General features: G+C 33.7%; 1 protein-coding gene across 6 annotated transcripts in view, besides 1 other annotated feature; it reads left to right on the plus strand.

Annotated features, from left to right (window-relative positions):
* The window catches only part of RSRC1 (arginine and serine rich coiled-coil 1), a 435642-nt gene that overhangs the window by 57986 nt on the left and 355534 nt on the right, over nt 1-22122 (plus strand). The gene's annotated exons all lie outside the window — the stretch shown is intronic.
* Nucleotides 17447-18779: an enhancer, noted in NCBI's record as "VISTA enhancer hs741". NCBI's record gives its function as "enhancer in: limb[12/12]" and the evidence as "EXISTENCE:transgenic organism evidence [ECO:0001131][PMID:17130149]".

Genomic DNA, 22122 nt, shown 5'->3' on the forward strand with positions numbered 1-22122 from the left:
ATAAAATTTTATTGAAACACAGCTACACTAATTTGTTTATTGTCTGTGGCTTCCCTCTACAATAGCAGCGTTGGATAGTTGCTACAGAGACCTCATCCCCCGCTCTCCACTGCAAGCCTAACATTTTTATTATCTAGCCCTTTAAGGAAGAATTTGTGGACTATTATTGCCCTTGATCATTTAGCTTCTACCACCATCAAATGACTCAGCTGATCCAGCTAACCACAAGAATTAGTCATACCCACTGAGCCTGGATGAACCTCCAGTTGATCTAGAGAATTGTGTGAAATAATAAATGTTTGTTGTTTTAAGCTTTAAAGTTTTGAGACAGTTTATTATGCAATAAAAAATTAACTGATGTCACATTGAAGCATACGTACCAATAGGAGAACAAGAGTGGTTTTTCCATGTGATTTGTTTAGTCACTCTCATTTTGACATATTAAAACATCTCAGTGATTTTCATTCTTTTTATTTATAGATTTTTTAAAAAACACTTTGGTAAAGTTTTTGTTATAAATTCTATTTTATTAAGATGGTGGACATAGTTGAGAAGGGTTTATTTTGTTACTATTCGTTAAGATTATAATTGTTGCAATTTTGGTTATAATTTTTGGTACAAGTGCCTCAGGGATTATCTAGATAATAATGATACTTGGTTTCTTGGCTGTAGAACTAGTAACTAGTTTATTAGTTAATGTTGGAGGATATAACAAATAGTTAACATTGCTTAAAACCATTTTGGGGTACTGTATTGGATTTCTTGTATAGCTAAGGTTGCTTTTGGTTTGAGAAATTAAAATGAAATTTTAAGCTCCCCAAACAACTGAACAGACCCCCTTTTGGCCAAGGGGACCCCAGAGAAGCTTTGAAAAGTGAGTCGCCAGCCTTCACAAGATCGGATGGGAGGTTGAACCCACCTCGTTGTTCCCGCTCCCTATAATAACAGCCATTAGACTTCCTTCCCTAAGAGTTAAATAGAAACCAGCCCTTTGGAAAGACTCCCTTCACCCCTAATATCAGCGTGATGCTGCCTTTCCCTTTTGTGGTTTTCACAAAACAACCAACTAGTATTTCTTTCAGTAAGAGACCACCAACCACAAAGTATGTACAGTGAGAGTTTTTGTGTCCTCTGCTTCACCTTTTGACATCAGAGGGATGAAAACTCAAAGGATTATGCTAACCCTTCCGTTTTTGAGCATGAGTCCCAGGGATGGGCATGAAACTGAATTGTGCATATGCATGTTTCTCCTTTCACAAATATTAATGACTCCTGCTATAGTTTACTGATTATGTGTATTTGGCCACCTCATTCAGCATAAATCCCTATCTTATTCTTCCCACCCTGGAAGTGTTTGCTTCTGGCTTCTGGCCAGAAGCTATATCTCCTAGCCTGTTGGAATGCTGCAAACCCTTTATGAGAAATAAAGCTCTTTCTACTTTCCAAATTTATGAACCTCATTCTTCAGTTGACAGATTATATTCTCTTTAAACTTCTCCTAGAGTACAATTATTGCTGCCTTATTTTTTGTTTTGATTGCCTGTTTTTCTCTGTGAGAAGATTCAGAATTGCATTCTGAAAGAAATCTTGGCCCTAACCCCATCTGCTTCTCTTGGCTCACCTAATGAATGGGATAGGTTACTCATTCTGTTCAGACTGTGGTCTTTTTTATTAAGATCCTCAGTTTCTATAAGAGGGTACTTCTAACCCTCTCTGGGTTGACTGTTACGATATATGTCTCTGTACTACAGTGGCTACATAAAATAGTTGCTCACCAGGTACTTGTCAGAGAATATAATCTTACTATTATGTAGAACCTTTCAAAACTTTGCCAAGAAGAATATTTATGCTGTAATGCTTAAGGATATATAGTATACGTATTTCTTTTTTAGTTTAAAATCAACCCCTTATTTAAGCCCAAGTCTTATATCTGGGCTTACTATATTGATCTTCTTTAGAATTGATTTTATGGAATTGTCTCTTGGCATTTAGGGAAATTATTGGAAATTACCCTGTGAAATTTATTGGAGAGTTTAATAATAAAATAAAATCTCAAGATTAGGCTTAGTTGTACCTAATTTGTTCACCTGGCTTATTTTTATTCTATGAACATTATGACCTTGCTTCTTTTGAGGCAGCTGTTGCAAAACTTGAAGCCAGATTTTTTGTTTAATTCTAGCAAATATAAGGGCCTTATGTCTTCTTTTATATGTTAACCTCTTTCTGGTCTGCCTTTTTTTTTTTTCTGTTTGCTTTTGCTCTTCCTTGTTCTCCCTTTTACCATTTTTATTGTATAGTATATATGTTTCTGGAATAATGTGAGGGTTTAAACAAGAAAGCATACCTGTGAAGTCCTTTAGACTTTTGGTGCTTGAAAAGATCGAATAAATCCACTCAGCCCATTTTCCCCACTAATTACAACTAAAAATGCTGGACCGAATACTAGCAGCAACTACTTTACAGTTTGGAAACAATAGCAAGTAGACTGGGGAGGATACTCAAAACTTAAAGAAGTGTCTCATATGCACTGAGTTGCTCATTTTTATTTCCTCTTTGCTGTCCTGGATTTGACTCAGAGTAGTCCCAGTTGTAGAATTGCACAGTGGGCAAGGGAAGCAAAGACCCTCAGAGAAAACCCTCATATTTCTAACTAGACTATGGGGAAAGGAGATCCTGTAAGCCAGAGTGTTTAGGGGCAATTATTGTTTTTTTAAATTTTTTCTTCATTTTTCCCATCTTTTCTCCCCAGCCCTCCTTTGAAGGCAGCCCCAAATATGGAATGTAGAGCTCTTATTCATTTTTCCTCTCTCTTTTCTTTCTCTGCTTTGCCCCAAGAACCACCCCAGTCATGTGGAACTGCATGATGGCAGCACAGGTAGCTCAGACTCCAAGAAAAAACCATCCTTTTTTGCCAGTGATCTGGGAAAAGTTGCTCCTGGGAGCCAGAATTTAGGAGTAACCCCAGAAAAGAGAGAACCAGAGAAAGAGATCCTCTTATTCTGTGTATGACTGGCACAAGACCTGGACTCACCCTTACACTGCATGTGAGTGGAGAGATTCAAAGGAGCATAACAAAAGCTTTGGAAACTGAACTGACATTGGAACTACAACCCACAGAATGTGAGGTAGAACTTTTGATCTAAACCAAACTGGACTGATTGCTTGCTAAAATAAACAACAAAATCAACATTCTACAGAGCATTTTGCTAGTATACACAGTCTTACAACATGATAAACAAAAGGTCCACTATATAATCCAAAGGTACTTAGCATACAAATAAGCAGGAAAATGTGACTAATATTTAAGGGAAAAGACAATCAACAGATGGCAACTCCAAGATGAACTGGATATTGGAACTATTAGATGATGACTTTAAAGTAGCTATTACAAGTGTGTCCTCCAGAGTAAAGGTAAGCCCTTCTGAAATGAATAGAAAGATAGAACTTTTTAGTAGAGAAATATAACCTGTAAAAAAGAACCAAGTAGAAATTTTGGCACTGAAAAATACAATATCTAAACAAAAATACAAAGAATGGGCTCAGTATCACACTGGAGATGACAAAGGAAGGAGTAAACCTGAAGATAGATAAATGGCCTGGTGTGGTGGCTCACATCTGTAATCCTAGCACTTTGGGAGGCTCAGGCAGGAGGATTGCTTGAGGCCAGCAGTTCAAGACAAGGCTGAACCAAATAGACAGATCCTGTATCTACCAAAAATAAAAAAATTCAGCCAGGCGTCATTGTGCATGCCTGTAGTCCTAGCTACCCAAGAGGCTGAGGTGGGAGGATGACATGAATCCTGGAAGGTCAAGGCATGAGCAAACCATGATCATCCCACTGCACTCCAGCCTGGGTAACAGAGCAAGGCTGTGTCGCTTCAACAACAACAACAACAACAACAACAAAAACCATACATAAATGAAATAATTCAATCTGAAGAACAATGAAAAAAAGAATTTAAAAACAGTGAAGGAAAACTCGGTAACATGTGAGACAATAATAAAATATCTTCTTATATGTGTGTAATTAGAGTTTCAGAACAAGAAAAGAGAGAGAATTTTGTAGAAAACATTTGAAGAAGTAATGGCTAAAAATTTTCTAAATTTGATAAAGTTATACATTTTTAGATTTAAGAAACTCAGTGAATCCCAAACAGGATAAACTGAAAGGAAACCATGCCCAGACATATTATAATCAAACTGCTAAAAAACGTAAAGGAGAATTATTTTAACTGTTCACAATTTTACCATTAAATGAAATATTTATCTTTTTGGCATTTATGTATTCTGCTTTGCTACTCAGATATGCATTAATATACTTCCTCTTGTGCATAACTGGGAACAGTTAGGAATAAGGAAAACAGTGTTTCATTTTTGTGCAATTATGAAGATACTTTTTTAAAGAACAACTTTAACATACTGTGTTGAAACATTAAAAGGAAGAAATATGTTAGTAGCACATCTCTCCTCCAAACTTATGCAGTTATCCTGACAATTGATTTAGTTGACCCTTCTAGGTTAAAAAGGTTAGCTAGCGTGTGTTTCTTCACATTTTCACCAGGGAATGTGAACCCATTTTTGGCCCTTTGAAAATTTCCTAAAATTAAACATGGCTATTCACATGTCATCATCTTTTAGGATGTTTACTTAATCTATTTTTTAATATTAGAAGCGGCTAGTAGTCTTTATTTAAAAATTCATTGTTAATTGTTTTAACTCTGTGAGGTTAAAACAATTTAAATAAGTTTAGGCTCTGCCTAATTTAGTAATGAAATAAATGTTGCATAAGTAATTGGTTGTGAAAACTTTTCATCTGAATTTGTGCTAATCATTTGCTTAGCATAGAAACTAGACTTCTTTTTTATCCCCTTTGTAAGAAACTTGATGTTGACTTAGGATATGTGGTTTTTTAAAAGATAACCTTGTTTCAGTTTTTACAGTCGATATGTATCTATCTAATTTATCTATGATAGTTACTGATTTGTATAATTAAATTTTTGCCCACTGATTTATATCTGTGATTATTTACATATACACATATCAAATATAAATCATAGGCTTTATAGAGAATATAAGACGAGTTTAACCTTGTTTATAATTATATAAATATACTTTATATGCATTTAAACATAGACTGGATTATTTATATATTTATAAAACAATCATCTATTGGTGGGGCTGGAGCAGGCAGACCATTTGCTCATAACTCAATTTTTCAGTGTCTATTGACTTTTCGTAACTCTATAGAATCTGATATTTTTAACTAAGTCAGTAGGTGCATGCTTTGCATTTAACACTAATTTGAAATATATTTATTTTTAATAAAAGCACAGTTCGTTGTTATTAAGATCTAAATCTTACTGTTATGTTAACTTCAAGTCTTCTATTGTCTATAAAACCTTCCCCAATTTTTTGCTTTCTACTCAGATTTTACATATTTATGTATGTATATATCACTAAATATACATTAAGAATTGACCAAGAAAGTCAAACAAAAATTTACTGTATGAACTAGCAATTCCACTCTTAGCCATCTACCCAAGAGAAATGTATGAAAACATTTATCCACACAAAGACTTGCACATGAATGTTCTCAGCAGCATTATTTATAATAGCCTAAAGGTGGAAACAAATGCTCATCAACTGATGAACGAATAAACAAAATGTGGTATATCTCTACCATGTAATATTATTCAACATTAAAAGGAACCAACCACTGATGAATGCTATGACATGAATGGACTTGAAAAATTATGAGAAGTGAAAGAAGCCAAGTTCAAGAAATCACATACTGTACCATTCTATTTATATAAAATATTCAGGAAAAAACAGTCTATAAAGACAAAATAGATTAGTGATTGCCTAGGGTTGGGGTGGGGGGTGGAATTAATAGTATATGAATATGAGAGATTTTCTCTGGGTGAAGAAAATGCTCGCAAGTTGATTTATTGTGGTCGTACAACTTGGTAAATTTACTAAAAAGTCATTGAGTTTTACATATAAAATGGATGAATTTTATGGTATGTAAAATATATCTCAACAAAGTTATTTTTAAAAAAAGATTCAAGATAATATATTTTCTCTCAACGTTGGGGTTGTAGCCACTCGAAGCCCTGCCTTAATGCTTGGCATTTGATAAGTGTGCTTAATGAATGGTTGATTTATTTTTTTAATGAGTTGAGCTTTCAAAATTAAATGGAGTCTAATACCTAGGAAAGTTTTCTAGAGAGACAAATCCCAAACCAATAAGTAAGCTAAATGAAGTTTATTTGTTTATTTAAAACTTTTTATTCAAGTAACCAATAATGGATAAAAATGTAGAAGTGATAAATGTTCAGCTCAATGAATTACTGTATTATAGAATTAACACTGTTGTGTAAATACTACTGAGGTCAAGAATTAGAATGTTAAGAATACCCTTGAACCCCTGCTCATACCCCTCACAATCATTATTATTTCCCAGTTCACCAAAGATAACATTATACTGACTTCTAAATCCATTTAGAAGTTTTGGCGTTTTTGAACTTTACATAAATGCACTCATTACATTAGTGTGTAATCCTTTATGTCTGGCTTATTTTGCTCAACTTTCTTCATGAGATTTATTAATGTTGTTTCATGTAGCTCTCATTCATCATTGTACAATATTCCATAATATAAACATGCCACAATTTATCTTTTAACAATGGATATCTAGATTGTATCCATTTTGGTATTACAAAGAATGGTACTAAAACCTTTTTGCTACATGTCTCCTTTGCCTGTGCATTCATTTCTTTTGTGTATATACTTTGGAATGAAATTGCTAGATTATAGAATATGTGTATGTCCAACTTGTTTATACTCATTTAAATCCCTACCATTGGTATATGAGAGTTCTCTGTGCTCTACATCCCTGCCAACATTTGCTATTGTCAATTAATTAGGCTTTAGCTATTCTGGTGGGCATATAGTACTATCCCTTTGGGTTTTAATTTTATTCCCCTGGTGATTAATGAAGTTGAGCACATTTTCATGTTTTAGTTGGCCATGTGGATAATCTCTTTTATGAAATGCTTGTTTAGTCTCATCTATTTTTATATTAGGCAATTGGTTACTTAATGATTTGTGGCAGTTTTTAAGGGTTTTTTTTCATATATTCTGGTTATAAACCCTTTGTTGATATTATTTCAAATATCTTCTTCCATTCTGTGGCTTACCTTTTTACTCTAATGATGGTGTCATTTAATGCATAAGACTTCTTAATTTTAATGTAGCAGCCTTTCCTTTGTGGTTAGTACTTTTTGTGTTTGTTAAAATCAATTGCAGTCTCTTCCAAGATCTTGAAGAAAATCTCTTAGAAACTCTATCATTGTATCTTTAATACTTAAATCTGGTATTTATTTTCATGTGTGGTGTGTATGGTATGATTTTTTTTTGATGTTCATCCAGTTGACCCATTACTACTTATTGAAAAGACCTTCCTTTTTTTCACTGTTCTCTAGGGCTATCATTGTCCTAAATCAAGTGCCCATATATGGTTGGTTCATATGGATTCTCTATTGTCTTTCATTGATGTGTTTATCCTTACACCAATTCCACGTTGCCCTACTTAATTAGTGTTGCTTAAATTAAGTCTCATATAAGGGAAATTCTTCTATCCAGTTCTTTTTTGTAAGAATATGTTGGCAAACCAATCAAACGTAGATTTGGTCTTTTTACATAGTGCCATATTTTTTTGGAGGCTTTGTTCATTTCTTTTCACTCTTTTTTCTCTAAACTTGTCTTCTCGCCTTATTTCATTAATTTGATCTTCAGTCACTGATACCCTTCACTGATACCCTTTCTTCCACTTTATTGAATCAGCTATTGAAGCTTGTGCATGCATCATGAGGTTCTCGTGCCATGGTTCTGAGCTTGATCAGGTCATTTAAGCTCTTCTCTACACCGATAACAGACAAACAGAGAGCCAAATCATGAGTGAACGTCCATTCACTATTGCTACAAAGAGAATAAAATACCTAGGAATCCAACTTACAAGGGATGTGAAGGACCTCTTCAAGGAGAACTACAAACCACTGCTCAATGAAATAAAAGAGGACACAAATAAATGGAAGAACATTCCATGCTAATGGATAGGAGGAATCAATATCGTGAAAATGGCCATACTGCCCAAGGTAATTTATAGATTCAGTGCCATCCCCATCAAGTTACCAATGATTTTCTTCACAGAATTGGAAAAAACTACTTTAAAGTCCATATGGAACTACAGAAGAATCCACATTGCCAAGACTATCATAAGCAAAAAGAATAAAGCTGGAGGCATCACGCTACCTGACTTCAAACTATACTACAAGGCTACAGTAACCAAAAAGCATGGTACTGGTACCAAAACAGAGATATAGATCAATGGAACAGAACAGAGGCCTCAGAAATAACACCACACATCTACAACCATCTGATCGTTGACAAGCCTGACAAATACAAGGGGAAAGGATTCCCTATTTAATAAATGGTGCTGGGAAAACTGGCTAGCCATATGTAGAAAGCTGAAACTGGATCCCTTCCTTACACCTTATACAAAAATTAATTCAAGATGGATTAAAGACTTAAATCTTAGACCTAAAACCATAAAAACCCTAGAAGAAAACCTAGGCAATACCATTCAGGATATAGGCATGGGCAAAGACTTCATGACTAAAACACCAAACGCAATGGCAACAAAACCAAAATTGACAAACGGGATCTAATTAAACTCAAGAGCTTCTGCACGGCAAAAGAAACTACCATTAGAGTGAACAGGCAACCTACAGAATGGGAGAAAATTTTTGCAATCTACCCATCTGACAAAGGGCTAATATCCAGAATCTACAAAGAACTTAAACAAATTTACAAGAAAAAAACAACCCCATCCAAAAGTGGGCAAATGATATGAACAGACACTTCTCAAAAGAAGACATTTATGCAGCCAACAGACACATGAAAAAATGCTCATCATTACTGGTCATCAGAGAAATACAAAGCAAAACCACAATGAGATGCCATCTCACACCAGTTAGAATGTCCATCATTAAAAAGTCAGGAAACAACAAATGCTGGAGAGGATGTGGAGAAATAGGAACACTTTTACATTGTTGGTGGGAGTGCAAATTAGTTCAACCATTGTGGAAGACGGTGTGGTGATTCATCGAGGATCTAGAACTAGAAATACCATTTGACCCAGCAATCCCATTTCTGCATATATACCCAAAGGATTATAAATCATGCTGCTATAAAAACACATGCACACATATGTTTATTCTGGCACTATTCACAATAGCAAAGACTTGGAACCAACCCAAATGCCCATCAGTGATAGACTGGATTAAGAAAATGTGGCACATATACACCATTGAATACTATGCAGCCGTAAAAAATGGTGAGTTCATGTCCTTTGCAGGGACATGGATGAAGCTGGAAACCATCATTCTTAGCAAACTATCACAAGGACAGAAAACCAAACACCGTATATTCTCACTCATAGTTGGAATTGAACAATGAGAACACTTGGACACGGGGGCGGGGGAACATCACACACCAGGGCCTGTCAGAGTGTGGGGGGCTGGGAGAGGGATAGCATTAGGAGAAATACGTAATGTAAATGACGAGTTGATGGGTGCAGAAAACCAACATGGCACATGTATGCCTGTGTAACAAACCTGCACTCTGCACATGTACCCTAGAACTTAAAGTTTAAAAACAAATATGTTGGCAAACATTGGCCATTTGCAATATAACTTTATATCAATATTTAATATCAATATACTTTTTAGAATCATCTTGACTGTTTCTAAAAGCAAAAAATGTGATTTCGTTGGGATTTCATTGACTCTACAGATTAGTATGGAGAGAATTGACACAAAATTTTCTATTTTTATGTGTGTCCGATAGGAGTTTGTCAATTCACTTTTTCAAATTTATTAGCAGGATATTGTTTTTAGCACCTTCTTTTTGTTATCTGTAGACTGTTGTCTTTTAATAATTATTTGAATCTTCTGTTTTCATTCCTGTTGTTGTTTTGTTTTTTTGTTTGTTTGTTTTTTGTTTTAAGACAAGCTCTCACTCTGTTGCCCAGACTGGAGTGCTGTGGCAGGATATCATGATCTCATGATCTCAGCTCACTGCAACTTGCACCTCCCAGGTTCAAGCTATTGTCCCACCTCCACCTCCCGAGTAGCTGGGACTACAGGTGCATGCCACCACGCCCAGCAAATTTTTGTATTTTTTGGTACAGATGGGGTTTCACCATGTTGGCCAGACTGGTCTCAATCTCTGGCCTCAAGTGATCTGCCATCTTCAGCCTCCCAGAGTGCTGGGATTACAGGCATGAGCCACTGCTCCTGGCCCCAGTTAAAGCTATTTTAGTCTCCTATTTTTCCTGATTAATCTCATCAGGGATTTATCAATTTTTAAATTCTTTTCGATATACCAACTTTTGGGCTTATTGACCAAAAAACTGTTTATTTTCTCTTGTTAATTTTCTAATCATTAATTTTTGCTCTTGAGAATTCTTTGCTTTCCACTGTTTTTCTGGCTATTCTTGGATGTTTATTTTTCTATATGAATTCTAAGTTGAACTTTTCTAGCTCTGTAGACATGATCATTGGAATTTTTTGGGGATTACATTAAATTTGTGAATTGAAACCTGGTACCTTGATGAAGTTGAGAACGGCTAGCCAATGAGAAGGAGTGTCTTTCTGTTTGTTCCAGTTTGCTTCTGTTTGTTTCAGGGATGTTTTACAGTATTTCTATAAAATTAGGTTTTGACCTTTTTTTTGTTTATTCCTAAATGTTTTATTTTTAAATTGTCGTTGCAAATGGGATTTTGTCATTTGTTATATTTACTTACTGGTTATTTGTGCAGATAGATGCTATTGATTTTTATATATTAATTTTATATTTTGCTAAGCTTGCTGAATTCTTTTATGGTTTGGGTCAATGTTATCAATTTTTCCCCCTCTGGGATTTTCTAAGTGTACTATCTGCAAATAAAAATTGTTTTATTTCCATTTCTTATGCATCTTATTGTTTTATCTTGTCTAGTTGAATTGGCTAGTACCTTGAGAATAATGTATTTGGATATTTTTAACTTTATTTTGAGATAGTTGTGGATTCACATGCAGGTAGATGAAATAATACGGAGAGATCCTATACACTCTTTGTCCTGTTTCCCTGATGATAATATTTTGCAAAACTGTAGTATGGTATCACAACCAGAATGTAGACATTGATACAGCTAAGATAGAGAGTATTACCCCAGGAATCCCTCATAGTGCCCTCTTTTGGCAAACTCACTTTTCTTTTGCTTTTAGACCCCCTTTGAAAGAAAAGATTAGGCAACCAGTAATCTGTTCTTTTTCATAATTTTTGTCATTTAAGAACGTTTTTTAAATGGAATTGTATAGTATGTAACCTTTGAGATTGGCTTTTTTCACTCACCATAACCCCCTGGAGATTTATCTATGTTGTTGTGTATATCAGTAACTTGTTCTTCTTATTGCTAAGTAGTATCTCACGGTATGGTTGTACCTCAGTTTGTTTAACTATTATCCATTGAAAGTTTTTTTTCAGTTTTGGCTGTTATAAGAAAAGTTACTATGATAATGCATGTATAGGTTTTTGTGTGAACATATTATTTTCATTTCTCTGGAATAAATACCCAAGTGTACTCTTGCTAAGTCATAGTAGTTACATGTTTCATTTTGTAATAAAGTGCCAAACTATTTTCCAGATTTGCTGTATTGTTTTAAATTCCCAGTAGCACTATATGAGCTATCCAGTTTCTCTGTGTCCACCAATATTTGACATTGCTGTTTTAATGTTATCTGATCTGATAGTTGAATAATGATATCTCATTGTAATTTTAATTTGCATTTCTCTAATGGTTAATGATGCTGAACAACTTTTCATGTACTTATTTGCTATCTGTATATCCTCTTTGGTGAAATATGTTAACTTGTTTTGTCCTTTTTTTCTAATTGAATAGTTTTTTTGTTGTTGTTGTTTTTTACTATTGAGTTTTGAGAGTTCTTTACTTAAAACATATTTTCTCCTAGTCTTTAGCTTGTCTTTTCATCCTCTTCACAGAGTCTTACAGAGCAAAAGTTTTAAATTTTGGTGAAGTCTAGTTTTATCAGTTCTTCCTTTTATGGTATCAGATCTATGCTTTTGGTGTCAAATCCAAGAATTGTTTCTCATATGTTTTCTTTCTAGAACTTTTATGGTTTTTTATTTTATCTTGAAGTGTGTGATTCATTTTTATTTAATTATCGTATAAAGTATGAGGTTTAGGTCGAGGTTCTTTTTTTTTTTTTTTTTTTTTTTGCCGTGTGTGTGTGTGTGTGTGTGTGTGTGTGTTTATGTGTCTGTGTGTGTGTAATTTTTTGTTTCTTTGAGGCACGGTCTCATTCTGTCACCCAGGCTAAGAGTCACAATCATGGCTCACTGTAGCCTCTTTCTCCCCAGGCTCAGGTGATCCTCCAGCCTCACTCTCCCGAGTAGCTGGGGCTACAGATGTGCCTCTAGACCACGTCCAGCTAATTTTTGCATTTTTCAAAAGAGGTGGGGTTTCGCCATGTCGTCCAGGCTGGTCTCTCAACTCCTGGACTCAAGTGATTCGCCTGCCTCGGCCTCCCAAAGTGCTGGGATTACAGGTGTGAGCCACTGTGCTTAAAGAGTCCACAAAGAGTCATAATTTGAAGGGATTATATGCTTTTTTTTTTTTTTTTTTGAGATGGAGTCTCGCGCTGTCACCCGGGCTGGAGTGCAATGGCGCAATCTCGGCTTACTGCAACCTCCGCCTCCCAGGTTCAAGCAATTCTCCTGCTTTAGTCTCCCGAGTAGCTGGGATTTCAGGCGCCCACCACCACGCCCGGCTAATTTTTTGTATTTTTAGTAGAGACGGAGTTTCACTGTGTTGGCCAGGCTGATCTCAAACTACTGACCTTGTGATCCGCCCACCTTGGCCTCCCAAAGTGCTGGGATTACAGGCGTGAGCCACCGCCCCTGGCCCTATGTACGTTTTTAAAAGCTCCCCAGGTAACTGATACATGGCTAGGGATGAGAATCATTGAACTAGATGATCAGCAAAACTATTTCTGTTCCTGAAAATTTATGAAATCCTTTTCTTGAACTGTGCTAGCAACTAGATGTTAATTAGGGCTCTGAGGACAAGGGAACAGAATGAATTAGGCAAATGTGGCATGCTAAGGATCCTTTTTGGATGTTCATAATATAGACTTGGCTTAGATGTGGAGTTCTGGACACATAAGAGAAATATCTGTCACCTGGGAAAGTGTCTGTATTTGGGAGGGTGTGATGGCATTTATCCCAGAGTTAAGAAAATCCTTCAAATTATGACCCTTTGTGGACTAGATTACTTTCTCATTCCCTTTGCATAAAATTCAGAATATGTGTATGCTTTTTGTTGGAAAATTAGTGATAAAAATAGTTCATTTTATACAAATTTCCTTTATGAGATTTCTTAGATGTTATCATCATAGTTTGAGAAATACAAAGCAATGTAAATTTTAACAAAAATACCTTATAGTGTTATTGTAACTTATCTGTTAGTTGTAGGTATTCTATTTTGTTGGGAAGAGGAGAAAATGACATTAGTTTCTAATATTGGGATAATTTAGGTACATGTAAAACAAATCAGATAAATATTTAAGTGAGTTTATTAAGAAAAATATTAAATAATTATGTAGATTTTAGAAGACAGGACACAAATTGAGAAAGTAGTACATGAATTTGTTTGTTTATTCATTCTTAACAAATATTTGAGTGCATTTTTTTGTGAAGGCACTATTCTAGGCACCTGGAATATTATTAGTAAAAGAAACTGCCCTTGCAGAGCTTACATTCTAACAAGGAGGATAGTCAATGAACAACAAATATAATAAATAAATTTTATAGTATGTTGGGTCTAGTACAATGGGAAAAAGAAATATAGAACAAGTTATGGAGCATTGGGAGTTCGGGAGGTTGGGAGAGAGGGCAGGTTTCAGTGTTTAACAGGATAGAACAGTTCATTAAGTTCATAATGAAAAGAAGACATTTAGCAAAGATATGAAGGAGGTGAGGGAATCTTAGATGTCTGGGGAAGTGTGTTAAGATGATAGGAAGAGCCCATGCAAAGGCCAAACGTCAGGAAGATGTCTGATGTGTTTCTGTCTTCTAAATTTTTCAAGTTAATTACAAATCATTTATTAAATTCATAATGTGAAACATGTAAGTGACATTTAATGAACAAGCTGATTTTACAAATACTTTTTCTTAGGTGATAGAGAAACTCCCTAATTGGCTTATGAGTGGGCCCCAGATTATAAATTTTACTTTAAATCCCTTCGTAATTCACTGGACTGGTAGAACTTTCAAGGATTTCAAGATATCCTACGTCTTAGGAATTTTTTTAGTTCTTGGTGTTCTGGGCTCTTTGTCTTACTCAGGCCCAAACATAGTACTTATTGCAGCCTTAGGTTTCCTTAAACTCTCAGAGTTAATGCTGTAGGCCAAATGTTACTGGAAAATACTTTGAGAGTTTGTGTTGAAATCTTTTTTCTTTTAAGCCTTTTTTGCCCAGACTGAGTGCTCTGTGTTTACGGAAAGAAGGAAAGAATGGTTCAAATAAAATAATTAGTATTCCTTTGTTCTGATACGTTTTAAATACTATTCTTCTCTCAAGGGTAGATTCCAACTTTTATTTCTCATGTGTAGCAGTTTTTTTAAAAGGAAGTTTAATTCCAGTTGTATTGTTTTTGCTAATTACTTGGGACCTTTATGAATATAATTATGATATGGTACTGAGCTGTATAGTAATGCTGTAAAGCACTATCTGGCCCCAAACTATTCTGATTTGATAATTTCTAAGGTCTAATTTTATTTTATTTTTTCCAATAGATAATTTTAAATTTTATTCTGTATTTTCCTTCTGTATGAATTTGCCAATTGTCACTCCTTCCAATATTTCCCTTCCCCTTTCTAATTCTTTACACAAATCTGTAAGTAATGCAGATAAAGATAAATAAGTTATTAATGTTATTGGTCCAGATAAAGGTAAGAAAATAAACTTACCTTCTATTTAAATTATCCATAAGGAAAACTCCAGGTGATAGTTTGAGGATTTTAAAATACTTTTCAATAAAATAAAATGGTTTTTATTATTTTTAAGATAATAGATTGAATTTTAATTTAATTATTTTTTCAATGCTAAGTTCAACTAAAATGACACTTTAAAGTTTTTTTAAAATAACCTCTTTTTCCTTTAGTCAGTAGTAAAAATGGAAATGAGTGATTGTTTAAAAAAAGAAATGCCTTTGTATTGTTTGTGTAGATTGATCTTCTAGTGAATTTATAGGTTATTCATTGTAAAATTGATTTAGTTAAGATTTTTTGCTTAAAAAGTAAAATATCAGGTGGAAATAGACATGATTATATATTGAAACCATTTTTTAGAAAGGACCACTAAAAAAAGGAGTTATAAAAATAAAAAGTAAAACAATAATTTGTAAGTTTGAATATGAGCCTAAAGATTCCTTTTCAGCTGGGTTCGGTGGCTCATGCCTGTAATCCCAGCACTTTGGGAGGCTGAGGAAGGAGAAATGCTTGAGACCAGGAGTTCAAGACTAACATAGGCAGCATAGTGAGACCCCATCTCTCCAAAAATAAAAAAATTAGTTGGGCATGGTGGCATGCACCTGTAGTCCTAGCTACTCGGGGGGCTGATGGGGGAGGATTGCTTGAGCCCTGTAGTTTGAAGCTGCAGTGATCATGGCACTGCATTTCAGATTGGGTGTCAAAGTGATACCATCTCTAAAAAGATAAAAAAGATTGCTGTTTGGTCTTATTGTTGATAAAAATCCATACATGCTAGGTGCTACTGGGGTGGGGTTTCGCTTTTAAGTTTACTTTCTTCTTTGTGTTGTTTCCAATAGTATAAAATCAATTATTTATACTGAATCTTGAACTTGAATTTAGGAATATGTTTATTAAATCATGCTGGAAACATGCAGGATAAAGATCCATGGAGAAAACTAAGAAAAAGTATAATTTTTGATTTTTCAGTTAACTAAGATGCTCTTATTCATTACTAGGTTGCCTTTGTTTCTTCTTGCCTCATGGAACAAAACCTTAAAGACATAGACTCTGTCTCTTTAAAATCTCTTCTGCTTCCTATTATATGGTTTATGAAAAAAAAAAAACAAAACCTAGAATTATTTTTAAAGCACTCACACCAAATCAAGAAATATACTAACATATGCTTCGATTTCAAGTTTTCTTTCCTCTTGTCCCTGAGCATATAACACAGTGCAGTACAATACACAATAATACAGGGTGTACCTGAGTTCTGTTTCTCATTTATAAAATATGGTGACCATTGAGATGTTTCATGCCTGAGGCATCTTGCTTTTTCAAATTCTTTCATTACCATTAAAGCCTTTTTTGGCAATTAAAATAATGACATAAACAATTTAGAACTTGTTCACAGATTCGGAAGAAAAGTATAAAACAAGAGAGTTGGAAGTCTTATTTAAAGGCAAGTGGATAGCAATCTTAACTGGTAAACTATTAGGTCTGTCCATTTAAGTTATGTTTTACATAGTTGTATGAAATCATTCAGCAAGTTCCCTGGAGCTTTATAATGTTTAAGGATACTTCTTAGTAAATAAAGCTGTCAAGTATCTTAAGTTTTTCTTTTAGCTTTAGAATAATAAAATTTGCTATAATTAAGAGATATTAATATTTTGTCCCAATAAGTTTCTATTTCATATGAATAAACTGTAAAGGCAAATTTTATATGAAAAACTTTTAATTATTTTGAGGGAGAGTGGTCTATATTTTTGTTTTATTTTTTAATGTGAAGTATTTATTAATGTTGATTACAAAGCACATAGTTTTCGGAGTTTGATTTTACAATCATATTTGTTGTTTTAAATCTTTTTTTTGATGCGTGGATTCCATAAATACTTAAAAATGTTCATGTACAGATTTAGATTTTGCACATTAGAAAACATGTTGATACTTTTTAAATTCCAAAAATAAGCTACCAGAATCAAAATTAATGTTTAATAATTTAAATTTGTGCATATGGATTTTACTATTTAAGGAAATTTTGAAATGCAGTGTCTTTGATACCTAAGTGGGAGGCTTCACACTATTTATTTGGCTAGGTGAGAAAACAGTTAACTTTTAAGATACTGGTTTACTTACTTGATAAGGACTTCTCTCTAACTCTCCACTGCAGAGATGGGCGATGCAGGAATTTGCTTCATTATCCAGTTTTATTTTGGAAAATTGTCATTTTCTTTTACAAAAAATATTATTGCTCTTTTACTTAGAGTCCTTAAAGCATTTTGCCCTCAAAAAGTCCTATTGTTTTTTACGCATTTAAAAACTAATAATAATAAATATAGCCAACTAATGAAATTATTGGTGCTGTAAACATCATTTTGCTTTTAAAAATTATTCATTCTACTCCTATATTTAAAGTAATGATTTCAGTGTTAATAAGAACTAACAAATGTGTACTCAGACTTATGAGTGTCCATGAAAAACCTCATCCAAAGCCATAAAGTTTTAAATATAATATTAGTAGCTACCAGCTGCTAAAAAAATTTCATTTGCTGATTTTATTCTTTTACCCCTTTGTAATTTAAATGCCTTTATTTAAAAGTTTAACTTAAGGATAATGTAAAGTATATAGCATTTTAAGATTAGATGGTGTCCAGAACATACAATCCAGTGAGTTAGCCCAATGTAATTGGAGGAATTATTAAATGACACTGACCTCATTTCCTTTAGAACAATGAAAATTAATAGTTTCACATTTTATTAGGCTGATATTCCAGATGTAGTGTACATTTAATTAAGTGTAGTTCCTTTTAGTTATGGTATGTGTATCTGTTTTTTGTCGAGAATTCTTTCTAGTTTTACAGTTTTCCACATGTTTTCTTTCACCATTTATGATTTTTTTCAAAGCAGAGCTATAAGGACTTAAATCACTTTAGCATGCAGCAAAACAGTTCCCATTCAAACAATAAACGCCGTTTTAAAAAGCCTTTAGATCTTCTGTCACTTCATAAATATAAATGTATAAAAATGTTATGCAGTTGTAGTGCCCACCTGCTAATTAAATGCAGATTTTCTCAAACTTGTTTAAAATCTGTCTATTTGTTTCAACTCTGTCTCTGTTCAGAATACATATGGCCCTTGTGAAACTAATTATGCTTATGGAGCAGCTGTTAAATTTAGTGCAACTACTTTTATCCAATATTTTACATTTTAATTGATTACCTGTGAAGAAATTAGCAAATTAACACTTATTGTACAGTAACTGAATGGTCTTTTATGGTTACTTTCAGATTTAACAAGGGAACCAGGCACTGATGGAATAAAGACATTTCTAGGATTTTTAGATAGGAAAGTTATTGGTGGACCTTGATTATCTGGTGTGAAAATTTAGGAAGACTGATGAGTGATGCCAAGCATCTGTGTGTTCTGTATCTTAAACATGAGAAACAGATTGGAAAGTAATAGCTTTTTCACAGAATTTTGGTAACATATGGGCTTATCTGGATCTAAGAAGTCTTTGAAGATCTTTGAACTTGACTAAATGACTTAACCTTTGGCATAGTGGGTGGGTTATATGCTTTTTTAGAGGGGAGGCACTGACTTTCTGCATTTCTCTTTTGCTTTTTTTCCCCTTCTTCCCAATTCTACCTTTAATATCTTTTCTTAAAAATGGGGAGACCAGAGATGATGATTGGGAATTTGTAAGGTTGATATGATGAGAATTCCAAAATATTTAGTTAAATGGATCTACTTGTAACAAGATAGGGTTAAATCTTTTGATAATATTTTAGAAATGAGTCTGTGTAAATCTTTATTTTCTGTTTTATAGATTTTATTTGAAAATGATACGGCCATCAGATCTCATTGGCAGTATGTCGTAGTTGAAAGGATGTGGACAAACCTGAGATTAGATTTCAGTTTTATCACTCATTGGCTCTGCGACCTCTGAACTTTTAAGAATCCAGTTTTCTCAAAGTAAAAACAAAACAAAACAGCTGTCCCCCAACAGGAGAAAAATATCCAAAACACCAAAGGAGATGATTACAACAGCTATTTGTTTGAAACTGGAGAATTGAGTGAGATAAAGTACATGAATATAGCTTGCATGCTTCTTAGCACATAGAAGATCCTTGGTAATAATAGGGGAAAGTGTTATGCCCTATCACATTGCTAAATGAGACATATACTAAACAAGCATATTATTATACATATTTTAGAGCATTAACTATTATAGTAAAGGGGAGATTGGTTTTGATTTTTATTTACTAGCTTTGCATTCTCATAGCTCAATAGTAAAACTTGATATGAGTTATAGGTCCAAATAAATGTTTCTGGCATTTTGATAAGATATATTATTCAATTGAGCAATATAACTAGAATTACATATTAGGAATATACAAGCAACCCCTCTTTACAAACACTTGATCTGCAGCAAGTAGAGGCTTGAGCCTCTGCCTCTGGTAAGGACAGTCGATCCTGGTTTTACAGTTTAGAGCATTTGACACCTATGCTGATCTGAACAGATTTCTCTAAGACAGATGAGGGTCAGTAAATAATAAAAGATGAAAAATATTTGTTTGCTTAACTTGTCTTAGTTAAAATTCAGAATGTTTATATTTTCCCCCCAAAAATAGTGTTGTTGCTGGTGGATATATTTGTATAAGGTTTCAGGTAATTTCGTGTAGGCTTATATGGATTAGACTGAAAAACTGGCCACTATGATTTTTATGGTGAGTTTCAAATAACAGATATATAAATGAAGGTTCAAATAATTTTTTTAACCTTTGAATGGAAAAATTTAAGCATTAATTGAAGTAGAGAATAGTATAATAAACTCTCATGCAGCCGTGAGATAACCTCATCACGTAGCTATACTTTACCAATATCAAGGCTTATTTTTAGGCTTTGTTAGGATGGGTCTAGGATACATTTTTTCTGGCTAATTTTGTTCCAGTGCTAATACTTGACTCTATGCAATGCCTTTGGTGTGAGGTGTCTCCACTCTGGCTAGTGGGAACTCTTTCTCCCCCTGTGTGATATTTAGGAATTTTTCTGTTTTCCAGTATATATTTCCCTGGTTCCATGGAATTTCACCTTACATTTATAGATTAGAACCTCTATTTTTCACCTCTGATTTGTAGATTAGAACTCATCAGAACATCAAGGGGATCCTACTTCAGATTTCTGTATTCCTCTTTCCATCCAACTTCCTTCTCTTTGATACAGTGCTTTGCAAATCCTAGCCACCTTGATCTACCTGAAGGTCTGTCTCTGTCTCCTTAGCTCAACACATCCACCAGGCTTTTGTTTACATTCCCTCTTCCTGCTCTATCATCTGGAAAGTTTCTAAAGGCAGTAAACTGAGGCACACCTAAGGTTCCTTTATTTCCTTTTTTGGGAATCATAATCCTAGGCTGCCTATTGCATAGTATCTGAATCAGTTGTTTCATACATTTTATCTGCTTTTCTGGTTGTTTATGGTAGAAAGATTATTTTCATAGCTTTTAACCCATATGAGCAAAAGGTGATTTAACTCTAATACTGATTATTTTATTTGTGATTTCTCTTTTAAAAAAATCATTTCCATGAAGAGTTTATCAACCTTATTAATCTTTCAAAGAATCAACTTTGGTCTTTCTTGATCTTTTGTTTCATTATTTTTTGCTTCTTTTCTCTTTATTTCTTTCCTTTAACCTTTTGAGTTTACTCTTCTGCTCTTTTTCTCTTTGAGATGGATGCTTAGATCATTTATTTTTAGCTTTTATTCTTTTCTTATATGTACACTTATGGCCCTATAAATTTTCCTCTGAGCTGTGCTTTAGCTATATTCTACAAATTTTTGATGTGTCATATTTTAGCTTTCATTTGATTCACATATTTTAAAGATTCTCATTGTGATTTCTTCTTTCCCATGGGATATATAAACATATATTACTTAATTTCCAAACATTTAGGGATTCTTCTAGTTGTCTTCTGTTTATTATTTTCTTCCTTAATTGCACTATAGTTAGAAAACATAATCTGAATGCTTTCTAACTTTGAAATGTGTTGAGGCTACCTTCGTGGCCCGCCATATACTTTATTTTAGAAAATATTATAGGTACATTTGATAAGAATGAGTATTAAGAAATTTTGAGGTATAGTTAATAGGTAAATTTAACCATGTGTTCAAATCTTCTGTGTCTTTACTTTCTAAATTTACGTTACAAATCCACAATCAAGATTCTGCCTTTAAGTTTTGTCAACTTCTGCTTTACATATTTTGAGGCTCTTTTATTACATATTTATAAATTCAGGATTGTTAGATTAATACACACGTTTGGGATTACCCTTGTCATCATGAACTGTCTCCAATAGTAGTCTTTATTTTGAAGTCTACTTTATCTGACATTGGTATGGTTTCACCATGTTTCTTTTTGTTAGTGCATGCATGATCTTTTTTTCTCTGCCTTTACTTTGAACACTTCTTTAGTTTAATACTTAAGATGTTCATTTTGAAAGCTGCTTGTAGATTGTTGCCTTCAGTTGGACAATCTTTCAATTGTATTATTTAGTCCATTTATATTTATTAATTACTGATATATTTGGATTTAATTCTACCATCTTATTCTTTGTTTTCTATTTGTCCAATCCATTTTTTCGTTTTTTCTGCTTTCTTACCTTCTTTGGACTAATTTTATTTCATTTTCTTCTCTATTAGGTGACTAGTTTATATTATTTTAATTACACCTTCAGTGACTTACCTAGAATTTGTTGCATGGTCTTGACTTACATATAAGTCTAACATAAATTACTACTTTTATTACATTTTTTTTTTCCCGTAGCTTTGATTCTTGAAGGATAGCTTGGCTGGAGTACATGGCCAATGGGATGTAACATGGCCAACACACTTTTTTCCCTCTTGAACTTCTCAAAAAAAATTAAAGCCATTGTTTTGCTGTGTATCATGCAGTTGAGAAGACTGATATCAACTTGTCTTTCTTTGTTAGTGACTTAATCAGAATATTCTTTTTCCTTTATTTTTAATGAGCA

The sequence above is a fragment of the Homo sapiens genome, chromosome 3, assembly GCF_000001405.40.
Source record: "Homo sapiens chromosome 3, GRCh38.p14 Primary Assembly".
Taxonomy (NCBI): domain Eukaryota; kingdom Metazoa; phylum Chordata; class Mammalia; order Primates; family Hominidae; genus Homo; species Homo sapiens.